Below are 22,260 nucleotides of genomic sequence, written 5' to 3' on the forward strand. Positions count from 1 at the left end.
GCCGAGGCGGACGGATCGCTTGAGGTCAGGAGTTCGAGACCAGCCTGGCCAACATGGTGAAACCCCGTATCTACTAAAGATACAAAAATTAGCCAGGCGTGGTGGCGCGTGCCTGTAATCCCATCTACTCTGGAGGCTGAGGCAGGAGAATCACTTGAACTTGGGAGGCGGAGGTTGCAGTGAGCCGAGATTGTGCCACTGCACCCCAGCCTGGGCAACAGAGAGGGACTAAGTCTCAAAAAAAAAAAAAAAAAAAATTATATGATAAAACTAACACGGCAGCAGAATAGAAAGCAAGCTATTGAGATGGTTTTAGTATGAGGCAATGTGTGCCTGAACCTGGATATAAGCATGGAGATGGACAGTAAAGAATGGCCCGATAGTCTGCGTTTATTTTGTTTTATTTTATTTTGCAGTCTGCTTTATATATTCTACTATAGCAAGTAAATTGGATATAAAGATTCCATGATGTAGTTAAGATTAGTTGTACAACTTACTGGTCTTGCACAGAATATCCTAGCTCTAGCAGCTGAATAGATGTTACTTCTATACATCTACAAATACTTTAGGTCAGAACTGAGGTATTATTACTAACAGCTCTCATTTTTGAGTGTTTCTATGTACCATGCATTTACATATATGATCTTATATGATGACACTGCAACCCTAGGAAGTGGGTAAGGAAACAAAGACGCAGAGGTGAAGTCACTTCCCTAAGTTCACACAGTCAGTGGTAGTGCTGGGATTCAAACTCAGGTGTGACTCCACAGACTACATACACCTGGAGCATGCTCTATGCTGAAAAAGCAAGCTACTTTGATAGATTGTGTTTTCCATTCAGCTTTTTCCACTAGTTTGTTTTGTTTTGTTTTGTTTTTGATACGGAATCTCACTCGCTCTGTCGCCCAGGCTGAAGTACAATGGCATGATCTCGGCTCACTGCAACCTCTGCTTCCCAGGTTCAAGTGATTCTCCTGCCTCAGACCCCTGAATAGCTGGGATTACAGGCACCTGCCACCACACCCAGCTAATTCTTGTACTTTTAGTAGAGATGGGGTTTCACAATGTTGATCAGGCTGGTCTCGAACTCCTGACCTCAGGTGATCCACCTGCCTCGGCTTCCCAAAGTGCTGGGATTACAGGTGTGAGCCACCACACCTGGCCCCACTAGTCTTAAAATTCAGCCAAACAGGAATTATTAAAAGTAATAGCAAAAACTGCAATTACTTTTGTACCAACCTAATAGATTAATAACACATGAAAACATCAAAGCTGTTCTCTCTCTCATATACATATACATACATATGTGTGTGTAACACACACACACATACACACGTATGAGAAGTTAAGAAGTTAAAAAGGTTATAACCTTGGCATATACAGGATAAACTAGGTATGTTATCTCTTCCTCTGTTCAAAGTTTTCCAGAGTTTATGATAAACTTCTGGTTGATACTTTTCATCTATTGGGTACTGAAAATAAAAGAACTGAAAAACAAACCAAAGGAAACATCTGAAGATTGTGGGTGTGTTTAACTTCAAGAATATAGTAATTCAGGTTGGGCACAGTGGCTATTATTGCCTATAATCTCAGCACTTTGGGAAACCAAGGTGGGAGGATCACTTTAGGCCAGGAGTTCATGGCCAGCCTTGACAACATAGCAAGATACCACCTCTACAAAAAAAATTATAAATTAGCCAGGCATGGCATTGTGCACCTGCAGTCCTAGCTACTTGGGAGGCTGAGGCAGGAGGATTGCTTGATCCCAGGAGTTCCAGGTTACAGTGAGTGCAACAGAGTAAGACCCTGTCTCTTAAACAAATAAAATATATATATGTATATATATAATATATAGTAATTCAGAAATAATCTCCCACATGGGTTCAATGATACTTGAAGATGAAACCTATGAGAATTTTCAATGTAATACTAGTGTTCTGAATTTTGTGGCTCATTAAACATATTAATAAAAATATCAAATATATAGCACTTACTATGTGTCAGGCACTGTGCCAGAGGCTTTGTCTTCCTTATTGGAACCCTAAAAGTTAAGTGCTATTCTTAATACCCATTTTATAGGTGAGGAAACTAAGGCACCAAGGGGCTAACGGGTTTTGCAGGTCTACTAGTTATTAAACACTAGTTATTTGAGGTTTAAACTCTTATTACTAGAACTTACTCAGGTACCCTGTCTTGCAGCTATGTAAACTCTGCTCTCAAAACTGAGACTGAGATGTTTGAGAAATATTACGCTAAACTGGAGCCCAGGGATCAGCGACCTCCACGATTATCAGAAATTAAAATATCAGCAGCAGATTATGCACAGGTACACAATGGAGATCTAGATCATTCTTTTATTGTTTGTCACCTTAAATGCAAGTGGTATTTGTTTATCTGCCTTTGGTGCGCCCTCTGTGGCCAATTGACCATGGGACCTTCTCCCTGTTTTACTTTTGATTTTTCTTTGCCCTCTAGGGTTTCTCTTTCAAGTGACTGTGAAAGAAACTGGGTTCAGTTAATAGTGGATTGACTCTCCCAGCATATCTTAGTTTACTTGAAAGAATTCCCTTTGGCTAGGTGCAGTGGCTTAGGCCTGTCCCAGTGCTTTGGGAGGCTAAGGTGGGAGGATCACATGAGACCAGGAGTTCGAGACCTTCCTGGGCAATATTGCAAGACCCCATCTTTACAAAAGAAAATTCTTAAATTAGCCAGATGTGGTGATATGCACCTGTAGTTTTAGCTACTTGGGAGGCTGAGGTGGGAGGATTGCTTGAGCCCAGGAGTTTGAGGCTGCAGTGAGCTATGATCACACTGCTACACTCCAGCCTGGGCAACAGAGCAAGACTCTGTCTCAAAAAAATTAAAAAAAAAAAAGAATTCATTTAAATTGAGGGACTCAACTGTTTACAAGGCCCAGCCAGCCACCTAAATGAGGAAAGTGGGCCTAGCACAGGCCCTTGTCTCAAAGGGGTTATCTGTATAGGCTTATCCTTTGAGGGCCAAGCAAACCCATATGTACCCTGGACCACCCGCTTCTGACCTTTGCCTTAAATGCATAGAAAGTCCAAGATGTTTGTTTGTCTGTTTTGCTGAACACAGTCCCCCACGGATGCAGTTTCTTTCCTGTGTTCAGCTCAGGAAGTACCTCTGAGCTTTCCCCTGTCTTTGACTTGAATGCTAGTCTATAGCAGGTTCACAGCCTTTCCACCTTCAAGACGTTTACCCTTATTTATTTTCACTTCATTGTCAAACATAGGCCTTTGAAGTATTTAGTGCAGGGGCTTAGGATGACTTGAGAAATAAATGTCAGCTCAGGCCTAATATCCAGCATCCTTTTACCATGAATTTGTTCTCCCTGGCTGTCACTCTGGGGAACTTCTAGCAGGTCAGAGGATCATTCTGATGCCTATCTTGGGCTGGTTCATTACCAATTCCTCTTTGACAATGGCTTTGTTTCTCTTGGGTTGCAGTTTCGAGGCAGGCGTAGATCCAAATCCCGGACAGGTATGGACCGTGGGGTAGGCCTGACTGCCGACCAAAAACTTGAGCTGGTACAAAAAGAGGTTGCGGACATGAAGGATGACTTACGACACACAAGGGCAAATGCGGAACGCGACCTGCAGCATCACGAGGTACACCTTCCTGCCAGCGCAGCCTGTCCTGCCCAGGCTCCCCACCTCTACCCCACTGAGAGGTATCTAGAGTGGGTTCATGTGATTGTTGGGGCTTTGGAAGAAACACAGGTAGGATGAAGCGAATCCAGGGCCTATCTTCAAGGAACTTACCACCTGCTTGTGGGGACAACACATTTTTGAACATTTTTTTAATGGGAAATTTCAAAAATACACGAATGTAGAGAGGCTAGCACAACAAACCCCTATGTATTCAACACCTGGGTGGAATGATCATCAACATATGGCCTCTTTTGGTTGATCAACTTTCCCTTCATCTGGCTGGGTTACTAGGAAGTGAATCCTAGTGAATCTCTGTACATATTTCAGTATATATCTTTAATATATGAATTCTTTTAGAAGATATAACCATGATAACCCTAAATGCTCTTAAAATTTTACAGTAATTTCTTTTTTTTTTTTTGAGGTGGAGTCTCGCTCTGTTACCCAGGCTGGAGTGCAGTGGCGTGATCTCAGCTCACTGCAAGCTCCGCCTCCCGGGTTCACACCATTCTCCTGCCTCAGCCTCCCTAGTAGCTGGTACTGCAGGCGCCCGCCACCACACCCGGCTAATTTTTTTTGTATTTTTAGTAGACACGAGGTTTTCACCGTATTAGCCAATGGTCTCGATCTCCTGACCTCATGATCCGCCTGCCTCGGCCTCCCAAAGTGCTGGGATTACAGGCATGAGCCACTGCGCCGGGCCTACAATAATTTCTTCATAATACAAGGGGTTTGAGGTTTAAGTCAGTATATTAGGGTTCTTGAGAGGGACAGAACCAAGAGTATACATGTATATATGAAAGGGAGTTAATTAGGGAGAATTGGCTCACGTGATTACAAGGCAAAGTCCCACGCAATCGATCGGCTGTCTGCAGGCTGTGAAAAGAGAGAAGCCGGTAGTGGCTCAGTCCAAGTCTGAAAGCTTCAAAACCAGGGAAGCCAATGGTGCAGCCTTCGGTCCGTGGCCGAAGGCCCTAGAGCCCCCAGGAAGCTGCTGGTACAAGTCCGAGGGTCTAAAGGCAAAGAACCTGGAGTCTGATGTCCGAGGGCAGGAGGAGCAGAAGCAATTGTCGGGCATGGGAAGAAGAGGGAGAGCCAGAAGACTCAGTACACAAGCTTCTTCCACCTGCTTTGCTCTAGCTGCTCTGGCAGCCAATTGGATGGTGCCCACCCACACTGAGGGTGGATCTTCCCCCCGCCCAGTCCACTGACTCAAATATCATTCTCTTCTGGCAACACCCTCACAGTCACACCCAGAAACAATACTTTACCAGCCATCTAGGCATCCCTGAATCCAGTCAAGTTGACACCTAATATTAACCATCACAGTCAGTGAATTGAGTAAAAAGTCCCTAGGTCAGCATTTCTTTCTTTTTTTTTTTTTTTGGGATGGAGTCTTGCTCAGTTGCCCAGGCTGGAGTGCAGTGGTGCGATCCCAGCTCCGCCTCCCAGGTTCACACCATTCTCCTGCCTCAGCCTCCCGAGTAGCTGGGACTACAGGCTCCTGCCGCCACCACACCCAGCTAATTTTTTTTGTATTTTTAGTAGAGACGGGGTTTCACCATGTTAGCCAGGATGGTCTCGATCTCCTGACCTTGTGATCCACTCGCCTCAGCCTCCCAAAGTGCTGGGATTACAGGCGTGAGCCATCGCGCCCGGCCCCTAGGTCAGCATTTCTATACGGCACACGTGCCCATGGTTTGTGCCCTGTTACAGAACAATATAGTAGTGTCTCTTAGTGAGTCCAATACAGTCAGTTTCCTCCAGAGAAGAAACATCACTGTTAATTCGGTTGCCCACAGGATGACGTTGTTGGCTTGCATTTGAGAGCCATGTTGTATGAAAAGTAGATACTTCTGTTCTATTTCTAAAGTTTTCTATTTTTCTGTTTCTAAATGTGGGCATTCGCAGAATCACACTCGTCTCAAGAGGGACCAGTCAGTAGACTCATGTCTCCCATTGATGCAACCGTCTGTATCACATCAACTGATCCTGCTCTCCCACCCCTCCTCTCTCTCTTTCTAAACATGCATTGTTGAATTCTAGCAAGTTAAAGGAGCTTGGGATGTGGTAGCATTATCCTGACCCGCTAGGTTGTGCAATGTGAGCATCAAGTGCAGAGATCAGAGATCAGTATGGGCTAGAGTGGTCAAAAAGAATTTGTTGAGGAGGTAGGGCTTAAAAGAGACTTGGCATGATCTTGAAGAATGATGGCATCTGTTTAAAGCACAGGGAAAGAAGGGCACCCCAGGTAAGGAGAATGACATGGGCAAGGCAGTGGAGGTGGGCACAAGCATGACATTGAGGAGGCCGGTGTGATTAGAGAAGACGCTACTTTGGAGGCTGCTTTAGGAAGTCAGGTTGAGTAAGGCAATGATTTCTTGACAGCCATGCCAAGGAGTTTATCTTTGATGTCTTAGAAAGCTGGACCCCACTGAGGATACTTGAGTAGGAGAGCAATGTGTTGAAAGTAGCATTTCAGGTGGGTTGATGTTCTACCATGTGGAGATGATGGGGCTGGAGCCTGAGGCCGGCCAGTGAAAATGCTTTTGCCTCTTGGTGTTCAGAAAAAAAGTCTGAACTAGGATGATTTGCAGTCTGGCTAGAGATACCATTCCATTTTATTTTTTATAGTAATATGTGTGTGTGTGTGTTCTTATTTCAAGGCAATCTATGTTGTAGAATGTTGAAAAATACAGTTAAGCTAAAAGAACATTTGAAAACATTCACAATTTACCACTCAGAGGTAATTTCTGTTGACTTTCCATTTACCTCCTACAGTTTAGATAATTTTCTATGCATATATGAATTTCTTTTTTTTTTTTTTTTTTTTTGAGACGGAGTCTCGCTCTGTCGCCCAGGCTGGAGTGCAGTGGCGGGATCTCGGCTCACTGCAAGCTCTGCCTCCCGGGTTCACGCCATTCTCCTGCCTCAGCCTCCCAAGTAGCTGGGACTACAGGCGCCCGCCACTACGCCCGGCTAATTTTTTGTATTTTTAGTAGAGACGGGGTTTCACCGTTTTAGCCGGGATGGTCTCGATCTCCTGACCTCGTGATCCGCCCGCCTCGGCCTCCCAAAGTGCTGGGATTACAGGCGTGAGCCACCGCGCCCAGCCTGCATATATGAATTTCTTCCAAAAATAGTATCATGTTATTTTGTAAACTGTATTTTTCACTTAACAACATCTCTTTACGTCAATACATATTTTCATTTTATAACATCTTTTTTTTTATTTTTAAGAGATGGGGCCTCACTGCGTTGCTCAGGCTGGAGTGCAGTGGCTATTCGCGGTCGCAATCATAGCACACTACAGCCTCGAACTTCTGGCCTCCAACAATCCTCTTGCCTCAGCCTCCTGAGCAGCTGGGACTACAGGCACCATACCTGACTTTATAATATCTTCTTTATTTTTTTTTCCATTTTTCCCCCCAATACTCAGGCTTGGAAATATAAAGTCTTTTTTTTTTTTTAATAACAGAAATATAATAAGAGTGCCTATTTATTTCCCCACTAATCCATCTCTCTAGATGTAACTGTCATTCATGTTTTGATGTATATCCTTCCAGATATTTTTAATGGATAAATAATTTCAAATATGGAAATACATATTTAGATAGATAGCTTGGCCAGGCGCGGTGGCTCATGCCTGTAGTCCCAGCACTTTGGGAGGCCGAGGTGGGCGGATCACCTGAGGTCAGGAGTTCAAGACCAGCTGGGCCAACTTGGTGAAACCCCTTCTCTACTAAAAATACACAAATTAGCCAGGCGTGGTGGCAGGTGCCTGTAGTCCCAGCTACTCAGGAGGCTGAGGCAGGAGAATTGCTCGAACCGAGGAGGCGGAGGTTGCAATGAGGTGAGATTGTATCACTGCACTCCAGCCTGGGCAATAGAGCGAGACTCTGTCTCAAAAAAAAAAAAAAAAAAAAGATAGATACCTGACACCTGTTTTTGTTTGCTCTCTTTTTATGGATTCTATTTTTTTGAAGAATGCTTTTAACTAATAACATTGATATAGTCAAGTTTGTATCTTAAGGATATGTTCCTAAGACTAAGAAGAAACATAATATTTTGGGACACAAAGAGGCCTGGGAACTTAGGTTTTCTTAGAAGACACATCCTTGAAGATTGCTGGAAACGTTCTTCTCTCTTTGTGCTGACTCCCCCAGGCGATCATTGAGGAGGCTGAAATTCGATGGAGTGAAGTTTCGAGAGAAGTGCATGAGTTTGAAAAAGATATTCTAAAAGCCATATCCAAGAAGAAAGGGAGTATTTTGGCCACTCAGAAAGTGATGAAATACATTGAGGACATGAACCGCCGGAGGGTAAGTTGGCAGACAGAGCTTAGAAAGGGAAAAAACATTCTTACAGGGATGTTATGGAAATCATCCATGTGAAGCAGCCTAGCTCCCTTTGGTCCACCATAAATGTTGCCCACATATGCGGATTTTCTTTGCATCCCTGAAAGTGTATGTGTATATGCATGTTTTAAAATGTATGTTTATGGCTAGGTGCAGTGGCTCATGCCTGTAATCCCAGCACTTTGGGAGGCTGAGGCGGGTGGATCATCTGAGCTGGAGGACCAGCCTGGCCAACATGGTGAAACCCCATCTCTACTAAAAATACAAAAATTAGCTGGGCGAGGTGTTTGTGCCTGTAATCCCAGCTGCTCGGGAGGCTGAGGCAGGAGAATCGCTTGAGCCTGGGAGGCGGAGATTGCGGTGAGCCAAGATCATGCCACTGCACTCCAGCCTGGGCAGCAGAGCAAGACTCCGTCTCAGAAAAAATAAATAAATAAATAAATAAATAAATAAATAAATAAATAAATAAATGCGTGTTTATCAAGGCTAACACCAGCCAGGCAGGAGGTATACTAACAGTACCTCAGATTGATCTCTGTTTTTTGTTTTGTTATTTGTTTCAAGATCTGATATATTTTCTTGAGAAAGGTATGAGACTGGTCTGGTCCAGCCTATCTAGAGAGGTGACTGTGGAGTAGGACAGGTAAATCTCTTTTTCAAAATTTTAAAAAAACCTTTAAAAAAATTGTTATAGAGATGAGGTCTCACTGTGTTGCCCAGGCTGGTCTTGAACTCTTGGGCTCCAACAGTCCACCCACCTTGGCCTCCCAAAGTGCTGGGATTACTGGGTGAATCTCAAGCTCTTTGAGATCCTTTGTTATCAGGAGATGGACCTTGGGCTGTTATGAGAAAAAAGGAGAATTTGGGGGGTAACCTTCATTTCCAGAGATTTTTACAACACGTCAAGCTTTAGATCCTGGAGACAAGGTAGGGTTATTACTAATCCTAATATGTTAACAGTAATAAAAATTATGTAAACTACCGTGGGAATACAAGACCAAAAAATCGTAAGATCATTTTGTCAGGAAAGGCCCCTACAGTAGCATACACCCAAATAATCTTGAATTTGAAAGCAATATAAAATTTGCATGGTGCAAAACCAGTGTCCTCTGCTTCTTGGTCATGAAATGTCATACCAGCCCCAGCTTGAGTAGAAGTAAAAGGACCTAAAATAAGTGACAGAATGTTAGGGCTCAAGGTTTGGTTTGCAGCCCCAGAACCATCCACTTTTCAAACCAATGGGAAAAAGGAGAGAAATGGATTAAATGCATTAAAATATGCCTTTATGTTTTAGGATAATATGAAGGAGAAATTACGTTTGAAAAATGTTTCTCTCAAAGTTCAGAGGAAAAAAATGCTTTTACAATTGAGGCAGGTATGTGGTCCTTTTTCTCTCTCTCTCTGTTTCTTTTTAAGGTTACTGTGGTAGGCTGAATAAGGTTCCCACCCCCACCCCAAAATATCCATATCCTAAACCCTGGAATCTGTGAATACATTAACTTACATGGCAAAAAGGATTTTGCAGATGTGATTAATTTAGGATCTTGAGATGGGGAGATGGTCTTGAATTACCTGGGTGGGCCCTATATAATCTCCCTCCTTATCAGTGGGAAGCAGGAGGGTGGGAGAAGCTATGATAACAGAAGCAGAGATCAGAGTGATGAGCTTTCATGAGAGGGAGAAGGGGTCAGGAGTCAAGGACTGCAGACAGCCTCTAGAAGCTGGAAATGACAAGGAAACAGAGTCTCCCCTAGAGCCTTGGGAAGAAATGCAGCCCTGCTGAGATCCTGATTTGAGCCTCCCAACCCATTTCAGACTCCTGACCTCCAGAACTGTAAGATAATAAATTTGCATTAAAACCACGAGGTTTGTGGTGATTTGTTACAGGAGCAACAGGAAACTCATATGATGACTGTGCAGGCAAATCAGAGGTTTTCTGTAGACAGAGTTGGCGTGAATTTAAAAGACCCTCAAGACATACTTGTTGGCCCTTTCTGGGAATATGGCCTGGTGGCACAGTTATATGTGCTTTGGTGTGTCTAGCATCGCCATCAGCTGACCCTAATGGCTCCTGATGAAAGGCAGTAAGGCAAACATGGTTCCATCCTTTCCTAGCTCAATATTTTTATTATTAACTTGAATTTGGGCACTGGTAGCATGCTCATCAAAGGGGGCTACTGACAAGGACACAAAACTGGGCAGGAGAATTAACATGTTGGGGGACTATTGCTTGAGTCACTCGGGATCCAGAAAGACCTCACCAAGCTGGGACAGATTTAACAGCATGAAGTGATGAAGGACAAATGTAACACCCTGCACTTTTGATCCCCCAAAATATCTGTTCAGGTACAGGATGGCTTAGCTGTAGAGTACCTGATAAAGTCAGCTCAGGTGGTGGTGATGCTATGGCCTAGGCTGCGTTCATAGAAACACAGTGCCCAGACCAAGGAAGGGGTAGCCTTTCTCTACTCTGTCTGAGCGGCCCCTACCTGGAGTGTCATGTCACAAGGTGAGCCCCACCCTTGAAATAATTGGTAAACTAGAGTTCACATCGGAGAGCAAGCCAGATGTCAGGAATAGAAACCATATCCAAGAGCCTGGGACTGATGTGCCCAAGGAGAGAGGGTCCAGGAGGGCCACAGCCACTGTCTCCAAGTGCTCAGGGCTGCAGCAGGAAGGGAGAGCAGAGCTGGGGCTGTGGATGGAGGTGTCAAGGAAGGAGATTTGAGTTCAGCGCAAGAAAAAATTCTGCCGTGAGTGGTCCCAGTGGAACTGTCTGCAGATCATCAGTTCCTGGTACTTGGAGGTTCATGCAAGCATGGGCATCAGGAAGAGGGGCTTTAAGCTGGAGATGGGGAGTAGATGGATGATCTTTAACCTTAATGCCGCTGCTACACAAAGATAACACAGACACGGGCCCTGCCCTTGCGAGCTCATAGACTAGTGGGCAGCAGTGTCACGAGAAAAGGTGTATATGTGTAATTGTATACAGAAGCTACATACCAAGGACCACAGAGCTAAAGCTTCCAGGGGCTCAGCAGAGAGAGGGATCACCCTCTGGTGTGGAAAACAGGTTGGGAGCATTGGAGCTGGAGGAATGGTTGTACTGGGGCTTAAGGAAGTTGTGTTGTTTTGGGAAGGGGAAGAAGATGAATCCCAGGAGATAGCACAGACAGCATGAGTGAGGCATGGGAGTGAGGAACAGCAGTTCCCAAGTTGGGCTGTTGTCTACCACAGATATAAAATGGCATAGACCTGGCAGGGCTGGTAAAGTGGGCCAGGTCAGGGAGGGAACCTTATACACTCATGCACTGCAGTGCAGAAATATCAGATGATCAAAGGAGGGGGAAATCGGTGGGCTGCTTGTCCTGGGTTTTTCATGTTAAAAACAACTTTTAAATGGCCTGATTCTTACTCTTCCTTCATGGTCCTGTTTAGGCAACACCCACTGTGGGATGCCCTCTGTGCGTGACTCGGTCTTTCTTCCTCCCCTGGCCTGGCTTAGGGACTTCTGTGTGCCCTCTGCCCCCACTCCCCCACATGCCCCCCGAACAACACATCGCACTGCACCACACTGTTGAGTCAATGGCTTGTTGGTAAACCCTCATATGCACTGCCTGGGGCCAGGGAACATTGTATTTACTTAAATCTCTACACCCAGTGCCTAACACCATGCCTGGGACCAAACAGATGCCCAATATGTGTTTGCTGAATGACTGAATGATGACTGACCTCCAAAGTCTTGTCAAGAGTTGCAAGATGTGAGCCATACATTCAGAATCACAACTGACGTATCATCTTTTCTTTCATCTTTCTGAGCTGTAGAAGGAAGAGGTGAGTGAGGCCCTTCACGATGTTGATTTTCAGCAGTTGAAGATAGAGAACGCTCAATTTCTTGAGACAATTGAAGCAAGGAATCAAGAACTGACCCAGCTAAAGCTGTCATCTGGAAACACTCTGCAGGTTCTCAATGCCTACAAAGTAAGGCCATCCCTGATACCCAGGGCTCCCCCAAGGCTTTCCACACTCACCTTTCTGGCCACAGGGAGGTTCTTGTGCATTCCAGTTTCACACAGCGTTTGGGTGCCCCCTCGCTGTCAAGCCATGTGTCCTAAAATTCCCTGAATGCTCCCACAACCCTGGCTGTGCATGAGAACCAGAGTTTTTCTTTAAAAAACAAACAAACATATAGATAGATGATAGGTAGATAGATAGATAGATAGATAGATAGATAGATAGATAGATAGACAGATGCTTAGTCTCACCCTGACTAATTGAATTAGGAGGTGAGGGCCATGCCTCTTATTTATTTTGTTTTTTATTGCTGTTACTAATTCCCCAAGTGATTTTTATGCATGGCAAGTTTTGAGAACTAACCACATTTAGAGCCCTGTTTAATTTGAGCACATTATAAGCACTTTCCTGCTTAAAACCTTGCAAAAGAAAGCAGTCTTAGCTATAAATCAGAAAACTACTAAATAATTTATCATCCAAACAGAACCCTTTTGGGAGGGAAAAGAGGCACTATTAATAATTAAGCAGAGACTATAGGCACACAAAGGGCCTGGCCCCAGCAGACTAGGCTATCTGGTCACCCTGCTAGAGACCATCTAATGCCGTATTCAGCAACTGCAGGCCAGTGTGTCCCCACCCACTGCCCTGTGAGCTAAGAATGATATTACAGAAGAACCTTTATAACCAATTTGATTATAGAAAACACTAACTTGAAACCAAATGAAGCAAAATTGGTTTCTTCCCCCAGAAATTCCATTTCTCTCATTAGTAGACCTATATTCTACAGTATTGTACTCAGTTTTTATATTTTGAATTGAATCAATAAAACATTGGTAGGATTTTTTTCTCTTGTTAATATAAGTACACAATACCCACAATTTTGCTTCTGGGCTTGCAAAACCTAAAATATTTACTATCTGGTCCTTTACAGAAAAGTTTTGCCGACCCCTCGCATAGTGCTCAGGTGGCAATGGTGGCTGTGGGCTTAGGTAGCTCGCAGGTGGGCTTTGTTTGGCCCACACAGTTTAAAAATGTGAATATGAATGTCTTTAGACCAAGTTTATGTTTGTTCAACATTTTCCTTTTACAAATGAAAAAACCGGGGGTCAAAGATGCAAAGTAGACAGGGTGCAGTGGCTCACACCTGCAATCCCAGCACTTTGGGAGGCCTAGGCAGGCACATCACCTGAGGCCAGGAGTTCAAGACCAGCCTGGCCAACATGGCAAAACGCTGTCTCTACTAAAAATACAAAAAATTATCTGGGCGTGGTGGTGCACACCTGTAATCTCGGCTACTTGGGAGGCTGAGGCATAAGGATTGCTTGAACCCCTGGGGGCAGAGGTTGCAGTGAGCTGAGATCATGCCATTGCACTCCAGCCTGGGCAACAGAACAAGATTCTGTCTCAAGAAAAAAAGAGCTGGGACTCCCAGTCCAGTATGCATCCCACCTAACTCAGTGTGTATCCCACTCTACTGCCTTTTCCAGCATAAAGTACGTAGAAAACAATGTGCTGGCATTCTGAAATTTATGTGTCATAAACATCCAACAGATCCTCTACTTTTAGCTTCTCTCATCAGTTTTTAGCTTATCTGATCACTGTTATTTATAGAGGAAGCCAGTTCCTGTGACTTCCAGGCCCTCACTGCCTGGAGAGCAGGTTGTACTTGATCACATTGGACCTCGATCTTATCCTGTGGAATCAGTTAAGCAGCACAGGGCCTGCCTGGTCCTGTGGGGGAAAAGCCAAGGGTTTTGGAAATGGAGCTACTGATTTTTAAAATCAAACTGCCAGGTGGCAGGGCCTGATCTCTTTAGGATGGGTCTAAACACACAGTGCAGATTGCTTGCAGTATCCGAGATCAGCAGCGCAGGCCACAGTGGGCAGAGTGAGAGCCATTCCTGGGGGAAATGGAGGCAGAACAACTGAGTTGTGGAGTCAGACCTTGCCTGTGCTTGAATGGGGGCTCTGCTGCGGGAGGTGCTTCATCTGGGCAAGATTCTTCACCTCTTGGAGGCAAGTTTTGTGTCACCAGGATGGTGCTCTGTCTAGTAAGTGTTGCGTCCCCAGCATCAAGGACAGTGCCTGGCTAAAGCAAGTGCTTAGCCAATATTGTCGAATGAACTGCTTGCAGAACAGGTGTGTATTTGGTAGGGGTGGGAGGGTGACAGGAGGGGCCACTTTGATATAAATATGAAACATTCATTCTCCCAGCAATCAGAAAATGAAAATAAAGAAATAAATATCAAACACTGAAGTGTGAAACCTTGTTAAAGACATGCAGAATAATTGTCCTCTATACCAAAAGTACCAATACCTCCACAAGGGTAGGCACTGGGCTGAGTGCTAAGGGTACAGCATTTAGACAGCACCAGGCAGAAATGGGCTCTTCTCTTCTGTGAGTTTCATGTGTGAGCCTGAGTCAAGGTGGCAGCTTTTTCTCTGACTTTATGCCCTCAAGCCCTGCCTGCTGGAGTCTGGTAAAATGTAAGCATGTGACTACAGCTGCGATGAGTCACTCCAGACTGCCTGTAAACTAGTGATCTGGGGCCTTGTAGGTAGAATTCTAAGATGTCCCCAAGAATCCCTGGCCCTTGGTGTCTACACCCTGTATAATCTCTGGCCAGGACTGTGAATATGATGGATTCAGTTAAGTTCTGTTCTGTTCAATGATTCGGTTATACTGTATGGCACAGTTGATCTAAAGACAGGGAGATCACCCACTTGGGCCTGATCTAATCACACGAGTCCTTTGAAAGAACAGAGTTTCTCTGGAAGAGGAAGTCATAGATGTGAAGCATGAGGAGAAATGGCTGGAGGAGGTCTTCTCCATTGTGGGCTAGAAGACAGAGGGGCCACATGGAAGGGATTCAAGAGGGGCCTCTGGGAGCTGAGAGCGACCTCCTGCTGACAGCCCAAAAGAAAACAAGGGCCTTGGTCCTACAGCTTCAAGGAAGTGCCTTCTGCCAACAATAAGTGAGCTTGGAAGAGGACCCTGAGCCCTTGACAAGAACCACAGCTCTGGGCGGACACCTTGATTTCAGCCAGATGTGACCATGGGGGAGAGTCCAGCCACACTGTGCGCAGACTTCCGGCCTATGGAAGCTGTGAGATAATAAATGGGTGTGGCTCTAAGCCACAAAAGTCTGTGGTAATTTGTTATGTAGCGATAGGAAGTGAATGCAGTCCTTTACAGAAGTGGCCTCCTCAAGGGACCCACATCTTGACTCAGCATCACCAATTTCGCTCTCATCAGCCTTCGTGGATACCTGCCCCGGCAGAGCCAGTGATGGCCTCGCTGCTGCTCTTGTACCTGCATTCCTTCCTGCCCTGCCGCTCTAAGTTGGTGACCGCTTGTCTTCCCTCCACTCTCCTTCCTCCCACCTGAATTGCTGGACTTGCGGCAAAGTCCTGCCCCATCTCCCCGGCCCCACGTCTGACCCCATCAGTGTGGTCTCATTCACTTTTGCTTTCCTTAGCAGAGCAACTTTCATGCAGGACATGGAACAGGAAATGAGCCTTAAAGAAGTGAGGTCTGAAAATAGGAGTGGGGAAGAGAATGGCCCCTGGGTGCCAGAAGTTCCCCCAGGCAGGTGGTTCTAGGCTCCTCTGTTTTGACACCCCGGGGCAATGCCCTTGCCCCCTCCTCCTGCCTTCACTTTGACTGTGGCCCTGCTGCTCTCTACCCACTCTCCCAGCTCCTATTAGATCCTCCTCTCTTCAGTTCTTTCCTTAGCTTGGAATGTTCTCTTCTCTCTTCACCTAGACATACTGATTCAATCTTTCAGCTCTCTTTCCAGCATATATATATATATATATATATATATATATATTTTTTTTTTTTTTTTTTTTTTTTTTTTTCAGGAAAACCTTCTCCAACCACTGTCCTGGCATTCTCACAGCTTGGCACAATTGCAGTCTTACATTTCTTCTTGAAATTATTTTACTGCCTCTCCCCTACTGTCCGGGCTGTGAGCCAGCCTTCTGGTGGCAGAGCCTAGTTTGCTTCACTGGCCAGTGCTTGGTGCAGGGACTGGTGCCTGGTGGGTGGGTTTTCAGGGTTTGTTGAGCAAGCTCCCCAAATCACTGCGTCTTTCCCTTGGCCCACTCCTCTGCCCAGCAAAGCACATCCCAGCTCCTCTGGATGACTCTTCCCCACTGACAGAGAGTGGTCAAAAGGGGGCCAATCTAAGAAGCAGGGGTGGGGCCTGCAGAAGCCAGTGAAGGGCAGATGATGCAGTGGGAATCTGCAAGGCTGTGCTCCTGCAGGACTCCTCTAAAACTAGCAGGTCCGGCCTCGTTAGGCGATGAGATGGTGGTGGAGCCTGTGGGCTGTGGAATCTCTGTATGGGCTCAATTCCCGGCTCCCCCTGGTCTCTGTGACCTTGGGGAAATGGTTTTACCTCCCTAAAGGTCAGTTCTCTCACCTATAAATGGAGATAGCAGTAGCACCCACCTCATGAGGAGTATTCCCCACGCTCCATCCACATGAGATAGTCATGGCAGCTGTTTGTCGTATGTTCTCCATGTGCCAGGCACTGTGTTCAGCACTCTACCAGGCTGTCTCCTGTAAGCCTCTCCACAACCCTACATGGTGACTGGACCCAAGTTTAGAGAGGTTCTGGGACCTCCCCAGAGATCTCCTTAGTGAGTAGTAGGGCAGGATTTAGGTCCCCGTGTGCCTGACTTCTTTGCCTCTCCAGCTGAGGCCAAGACTCCAAGGTCCTCTCCTCCCCCACCAGTTCTCAGACATCAGGATTTGGAAAATCTGGGCAACCATGAGAAAGGCAATTTGGACTTTCTGGATGGTCCTGCTTTTCTGTTCGTTAACAAAGAGATGTCTCCCCTTCCTGCGGTTCTGAGAGGTCATCTTAGCTCAAGACTTGCTGTGTTGTTATATTTCAGAGCAAGCTTCACAAGGCAATGGAAATATACCTCAATCTGGACAAGGAGATCTTGCTGAGAAAAGAGCTACTTGAAAAAATTGAAAAAGAAACACTACAAGTAGAGGAGGTAGGAGAGAGCAAAATGTGGTATTTCTGATGTTTGTCTCCTTGTGTTTATAAGGGCTTGAGTCAAGGTCCACCAAGATCTAAGCCACCTTGCTGGTTTATCTAGAAAAGCCTAGACAATAAAAATCAAAATAGCTCTGGGCCATCAAAGCACAAAGTGGCACCTGGAGACCTACAGTCCAGGTGTGTCGCATTTTACTGCTGGGTTGGGTTCTAGAGTCAGCTCAGAAAACAAAAATTTCGTACAGTCCAAATAACATTTGGGAATTCCTTAAGTGACCCATAAAGTACAATATTCGATGTTTCGTGTCTACAACCCCAGGAAAAATGTTTAATGCCCGTAGTAATGTACCTGATAGGAAAAAAAGTGCATATGCCAAAATAGAATGTTTGATGTAAAGGAGAGACAGAGAGAGGAAAGAGAGAGAGAAAGAGAGAGAGAAGAAAGAGAGAGAGGAAGAGAGAGAGAGAGAGAGAGGTCATAACCATACGACATCTCGCCGATACCCAGGCTGTACACTTACATCCTGAGTGGCCTGCAGCAGAGACCGGCTGAAGGACAGCAGACCTGTGACCTCTGTCCTGGGCTCACTCCAAGGCCTGTGGTCACTGTGTGAAGAGGTGAATGGAGTCATCTGAGCTCCTTGCCTGTGTAAATTGCAATTTACCTCTCTCATTACTTTGCTGAGCATTGATAGCTGAATTTCCCTAACTTAAATGCACATAGGATATGATGCAAAGAGAACTTTTTGGGGAGGGCACAGGAGAAAGAGTGCTGGACTCATGACCAGAAGGCCTGGCATCAGGTTTGGTGCTGCCAATTTCTGGTCTTGAACAAGCTTTTAAATAGACAGGACTGTTTCCACATCTGTGAAATAGATCTACTGCCCTTGTTGTAGTGGCTAGAGAGGACCACATATAATGATGCTTTGTCAAACTCTAAAACTGTTTGTATGATTATTAGTGTCATTGTCTTGTGCTGCCCCAAATTTGCCTACAATAGCCCCAAAGCCACAGGATTATTCACATCTAAGTTTTGTCATAACATGCACATCATTTTCTCGATGGACAACCAATACCTTCTGAAAAAAACCCCCAATTTCAGTACAGAGTGGCAAGTAGCAAAGGTAAAGCAAAAACCTGTGAACTCTCTTAATGCAGAATTGCCATGGTCCTTATTTATTTTTTCCTTGTGTTGATAGTTATTAGATTACAAGTAAAACTTAAAATTGATTTTTTTTAAAGCCTGACATTCATTGCTTAGTATATTTTAGTTTTCTTGTTAACGTTTTGAAAATAGCTTTATTGGGATTTAATTTATATGCCATATAATCACCCATTTAAAGTGTACAGTTCAGTGGATTATAATATATTCACAGAGTTGTGTAACCATCAACACAATAATTTTAGAACATTTTCATCACCCCAGGAAAAAACCCTGCAGCCATTAGAAATCCTTCCCCACAGGACAGGTGCAGTGGCTCACGCTGTAATCCTAGCACTTTGGGAGGCTGAGGTGGGCACATCATTTGAGGTCAGGAGTTCAAGACCAGCCTGGCCAACATGGTGAAACCCCGCCCTACTAAAAATAAAAAATTAGCCAGGCATGGTGGTGGGCACCTGTAGTCCCATCTACTCGGGAGGCTGAGGGAGGAGAATTGCTTGAGCCTAGGAGGTGGAGGTTGCAGTGAGCCAAGATCGTGCCACTGCACTCCAGCCTCAGTGACAGAGGGAGACTCTGTCTCAAAACAAAACAAAACAAAAAAAACTACTTAAATACATTTATTTATAAGAAGAAAGGAAGGAAAGAGGAAAGAAAGGAAAGAAAGGAAGGGAGGAAAGAAAGGAAAGAAAGGAAGGAAGGAAAGAAAAGAAAAGAAAAGATCCTTCTCCATTCCCCACACTCCACTCCCACCCTCCAGCTCTCAGCAGCCACTAATCTACTTTCTGCCTCTGTGGATTTGCCTATTCTGGACATTTCATTTAAAAGAGATTATACAATAGGTGGTCTTTTATGAGTGGCTTTTTTCACTTGGAATAACATTTCAAGGTTCACTTGTATCATGTATCATTTGTTTATTTTTATGGCTGAATAACATTTCGTTGTGTAGATAGACCACATTTTATTTATCCATTCATCAGTTGGTGGACATTTGGGTTTCCACTTAGGGATTATCATGAGTCATCCTGATATGAACATTCTGGTACAAGTTTTTCTGTGGATACATGTTTTCTTTTCCCTTGACGTGTTTTCTTTTCTCTTGGACATACACCTAAAAGTGGAATTGTGGGTTATACATGGTAATTCTGTGTCTAACACCTAGAAAAACTACAAATCTGTTTTTGAAAGTGGCTGCCCCATTTTGTATTCCCACAATGTATGAGAGGGTTCCAGTTTTTGTACATCTTTGTTATTCTCAGTTTTTTAAAAAAATGCCCATCCTACTTGCTATGAAGTGATAGCTCGTTGTGGTTTTTATCTGAATTTCCCTAATGACATGGAGCATCTTTTCATGTGCTTATTGGCCACTTGTCTATCTTTCTTTGAGAAATGTCTAGTCAAGTCCTTTGCTTAGTTTATAATTGGGTTATTTATCTTTTTAACTTACCCATTGTAAGTTGAAAATATCATAAGTTAAAAATGCATTTAACATACCTGACCTACTCAACATTATAGCTTAGCCTAGCCTATCTTAAATATGCTCAGAACACTTACATTAGCCTACAACTGGGAAAAATCATCGAACACAAAGTCTGTTTTATAATAGGATGTTGAATGTCCCATGTAATTTATCGAACACTGTACTGAAAGTGAAAAACAGAAGGGTTATATCGGTACTCGAAGTATGGTTTCTACTGAATGTGTATTGTTTTTGCACTATCTTAAAGTAAAAAAAAAAAACTTAAGGTGACCCATTGTAAGTTAAGGATCATCTGTATAAGATTCACAAATATTTTCTCCCATTCTGTGGATTTTCTTTCACTTTCTTGATAGTTTTGTCTGCAACACAAATGTTTTTAATTTTGATACAAGTCCAGTTTATCCATTTTTTTTCTTTTGAGCTTGTGCTTTTGGTGTCATATATAAGAAACCATTGCCTTACCCAATATCATGAAGATTTACTCCTCTGTCTTCTTTTAAGAGTTTTATAATTTTAGCTCTTATGTTTAGGTTTTATAATCGATTTTGAGTTAATTTTTTAAATAGTGTGAGCGAGGATTTCAAAAGCTGAAAGAAGAAAGGAGATGAAATATGTTTACAGAGTTTGTCGTATTAACCTTTTTATTTACATTTCTTCCTGTGAATTTGAGTTACTATCTGGCGTTTCTTATGCAAATACAGCTTTGTTTCAGCCTCCCTCCTTTGTGCTATTACTGTCAAATGCACTCCATGTTTATATGTTATAGTTCCCCAAATACAATTATATATGTATTTTTATACATTTGATTTTTAAATCAGTTAAGTGAAGAAATATGCAATTATACTGTCTTTTATAATTACCTATTATACAGTTAATTTTATTTGCACTACTTTTTTAATGTTGATTTCATATTCCTGTCTGGTATCACTTGTTTTCAGCTTGAAGAACTTCCTGTAGTATTTCTTGTAAGGCAGGTCTGCCAGCAATGACTTCTGTAGGTTTTTGTTAATCTGGGAATGTCTTTATTTTTCCTTTATTTTTCAAAAATAAACTTTTTATTTTAGAAATTTTAGATTTACAGGAAAATTGTGAAGATAGTACAGCGAACCAACATATACCTCATACCCAGTTTCCCTTATTTTAACCTCTTACATCAGTACAATGTGTTTATTACTATTAATGAACCAGTATTGATACAGTATTATTAACCAAAGTCTGTGCTTTTGTCACATTTCCTTAGTTCTTACCTGACGTCCTTTAACTGTTCCAGGATCCCACCCAGGATATCCACATTACATTTACTGCTATGTCTCCTTAAGCTCCTCTTGGCTGAGACAGTTTCTCAGAATTTCCTTGATGTTGATGACCTTGACAGTTTTGAGGAGTACCTGTCAGGTTTTTGTAGAATGTTCCTCCACTGGATTTGTTTGATATTTTTCTCATAATTATATTGGGGTTTATGTGTTTTGAGGAGGAAGACCACAGACATAAAGTGCCATTCACATCACATCATATCAAGGGAGTCTACTGTCAACATGACTCATCATTGATGTGAACCTTGATCACCTAGATGGATAGTATGTTATAGATTTCTTCACTGTGAAGTTACTCTCCCTCCTTTCCATACCGTACTCTTCGGAAGGAAGTCACTATGTACAGCCCATACTTAAGGAGTGGGGATTTATGCTCCACATAATTTATTTGGAATTCTTCTGTATAGGAGATTTATCTATTCTCCTCCATTTATTTATTTTTAACATCATTTATTTATATCAGTTTCCACTCATAGATTTTTTTTTTTTTTTGAGACAGAGTCTCACTCTGTCGCCCAGGCTGGAGTGCAGTGGCGTGATCTCGGCTCACTGCAACCTCCACCTCCCGGGTTCACGCCATTCTCCTGCCTCAGCCTCTCCGAGTAGCTGGGACTGCAGGCACCCGCCACCACGCCCGGCTAATTTTTTTGTATTTTTAGTAGAGACGGGGTTTCACCACGTTAGCCAGGATGGTCTCGATCTCCTGACCTCGTGATCTGCCCGCCTCAGCCTCCCAAAGTGCTGGGATTACAAGCGTGAGCCACCGCACCCGGCCAGATATTTGTTTTGTATGTTGGCTTATAATATCATAAGCCATGCATTGTTTAATGATGGGGATACATTCTGAGAAATGCATTGTTAGGCAATGTCATCATTGTGTGAACATTATAGAGTGTACCCTATGATGGTATACCTAGATGGTGTAGCCTACTACACACCTAGGCTACATACAAAAGCATGTTATTGTACTGAATGCTGTAGGAAATTATAATACAATGCTAAGTATTTGTGTATCCAAACATATCTAAACATAGAAAAGGTACAGTAAAGATACGGCATTATAATCTTATGGGACCATCTTCATAAGTGGTTCATTGTTGACCGAAATGTTTTCTGTGGCATATGACTGTATTACATTATTTATTTTGTTGCTCAAATTGTTCCAGGTTGGCCATTGGGAGCTCTTTCAGTTGAATTTGGTGTCCCTTTGAATCTCTTCATCTTAATGGCTTTTTTTTTTTTTTTGA

At 43.6% G+C, this 22,260-nt stretch overlaps 1 protein-coding gene across 2 annotated transcripts in view, besides 2 other annotated features; it reads left to right on the plus strand.

The window, feature by feature from the left end:
- The window catches only part of CFAP263 (cilia and flagella associated protein 263), a 33,901-nt gene that overhangs the window by 592 nt on the left and 11,049 nt on the right, over nucleotides 1-22,260 (plus strand). The window contains exons 2-7 of one of the 2 annotated variants that reach the window (NM_014157.4): nucleotides 2,200-2,326; nucleotides 3,471-3,632; nucleotides 7,841-7,996; nucleotides 9,327-9,407; nucleotides 11,858-12,013; nucleotides 16,952-17,059. In NM_014157.4, coding sequence (NP_054876.2) covers nucleotides 2,200-2,326; nucleotides 3,471-3,632; nucleotides 7,841-7,996; nucleotides 9,327-9,407; nucleotides 11,858-12,013; nucleotides 16,952-17,059 — 790 coding nt within the window. The remainder of the gene's footprint in view (nucleotides 1-2,199; nucleotides 2,327-3,470; nucleotides 3,633-7,840; nucleotides 7,997-9,326; nucleotides 9,408-11,857; nucleotides 12,014-16,951; nucleotides 17,060-22,260) is intronic. The other variant, NM_001142302.2, reaches the window with a different exon arrangement.
- Nucleotides 7,346-7,495: a silencer, noted in NCBI's record as "silent region_7549". NCBI's record gives its function as "represses an Ori minimal core promoter by ATAC-STARR-seq in GM12878 lymphoblastoid cells {active_cell/tissue: GM12878}" and the evidence as "EXISTENCE:reporter gene assay evidence [ECO:0000049][PMID:35858748]".
- Nucleotides 14,418-14,712: an enhancer, noted in NCBI's record as "tiled region #4701; HepG2 Activating non-DNase unmatched - State 10:DNaseD, and K562 Activating DNase matched - State 5:Enh". NCBI's record gives its function as "activates a minimal TATA promoter and a strong SV40 promoter by Sharpr-MPRA in HepG2 and K562 cells {active_cell/tissue: HepG2 | K562}" and the evidence as "EXISTENCE:reporter gene assay evidence [ECO:0000049][PMID:27701403]".

Source organism: Homo sapiens, chromosome 16 (assembly GCF_000001405.40).
Source record: "Homo sapiens chromosome 16, GRCh38.p14 Primary Assembly".
NCBI classification, from domain to species: Eukaryota; Metazoa; Chordata; class Mammalia; order Primates; family Hominidae; genus Homo; species Homo sapiens.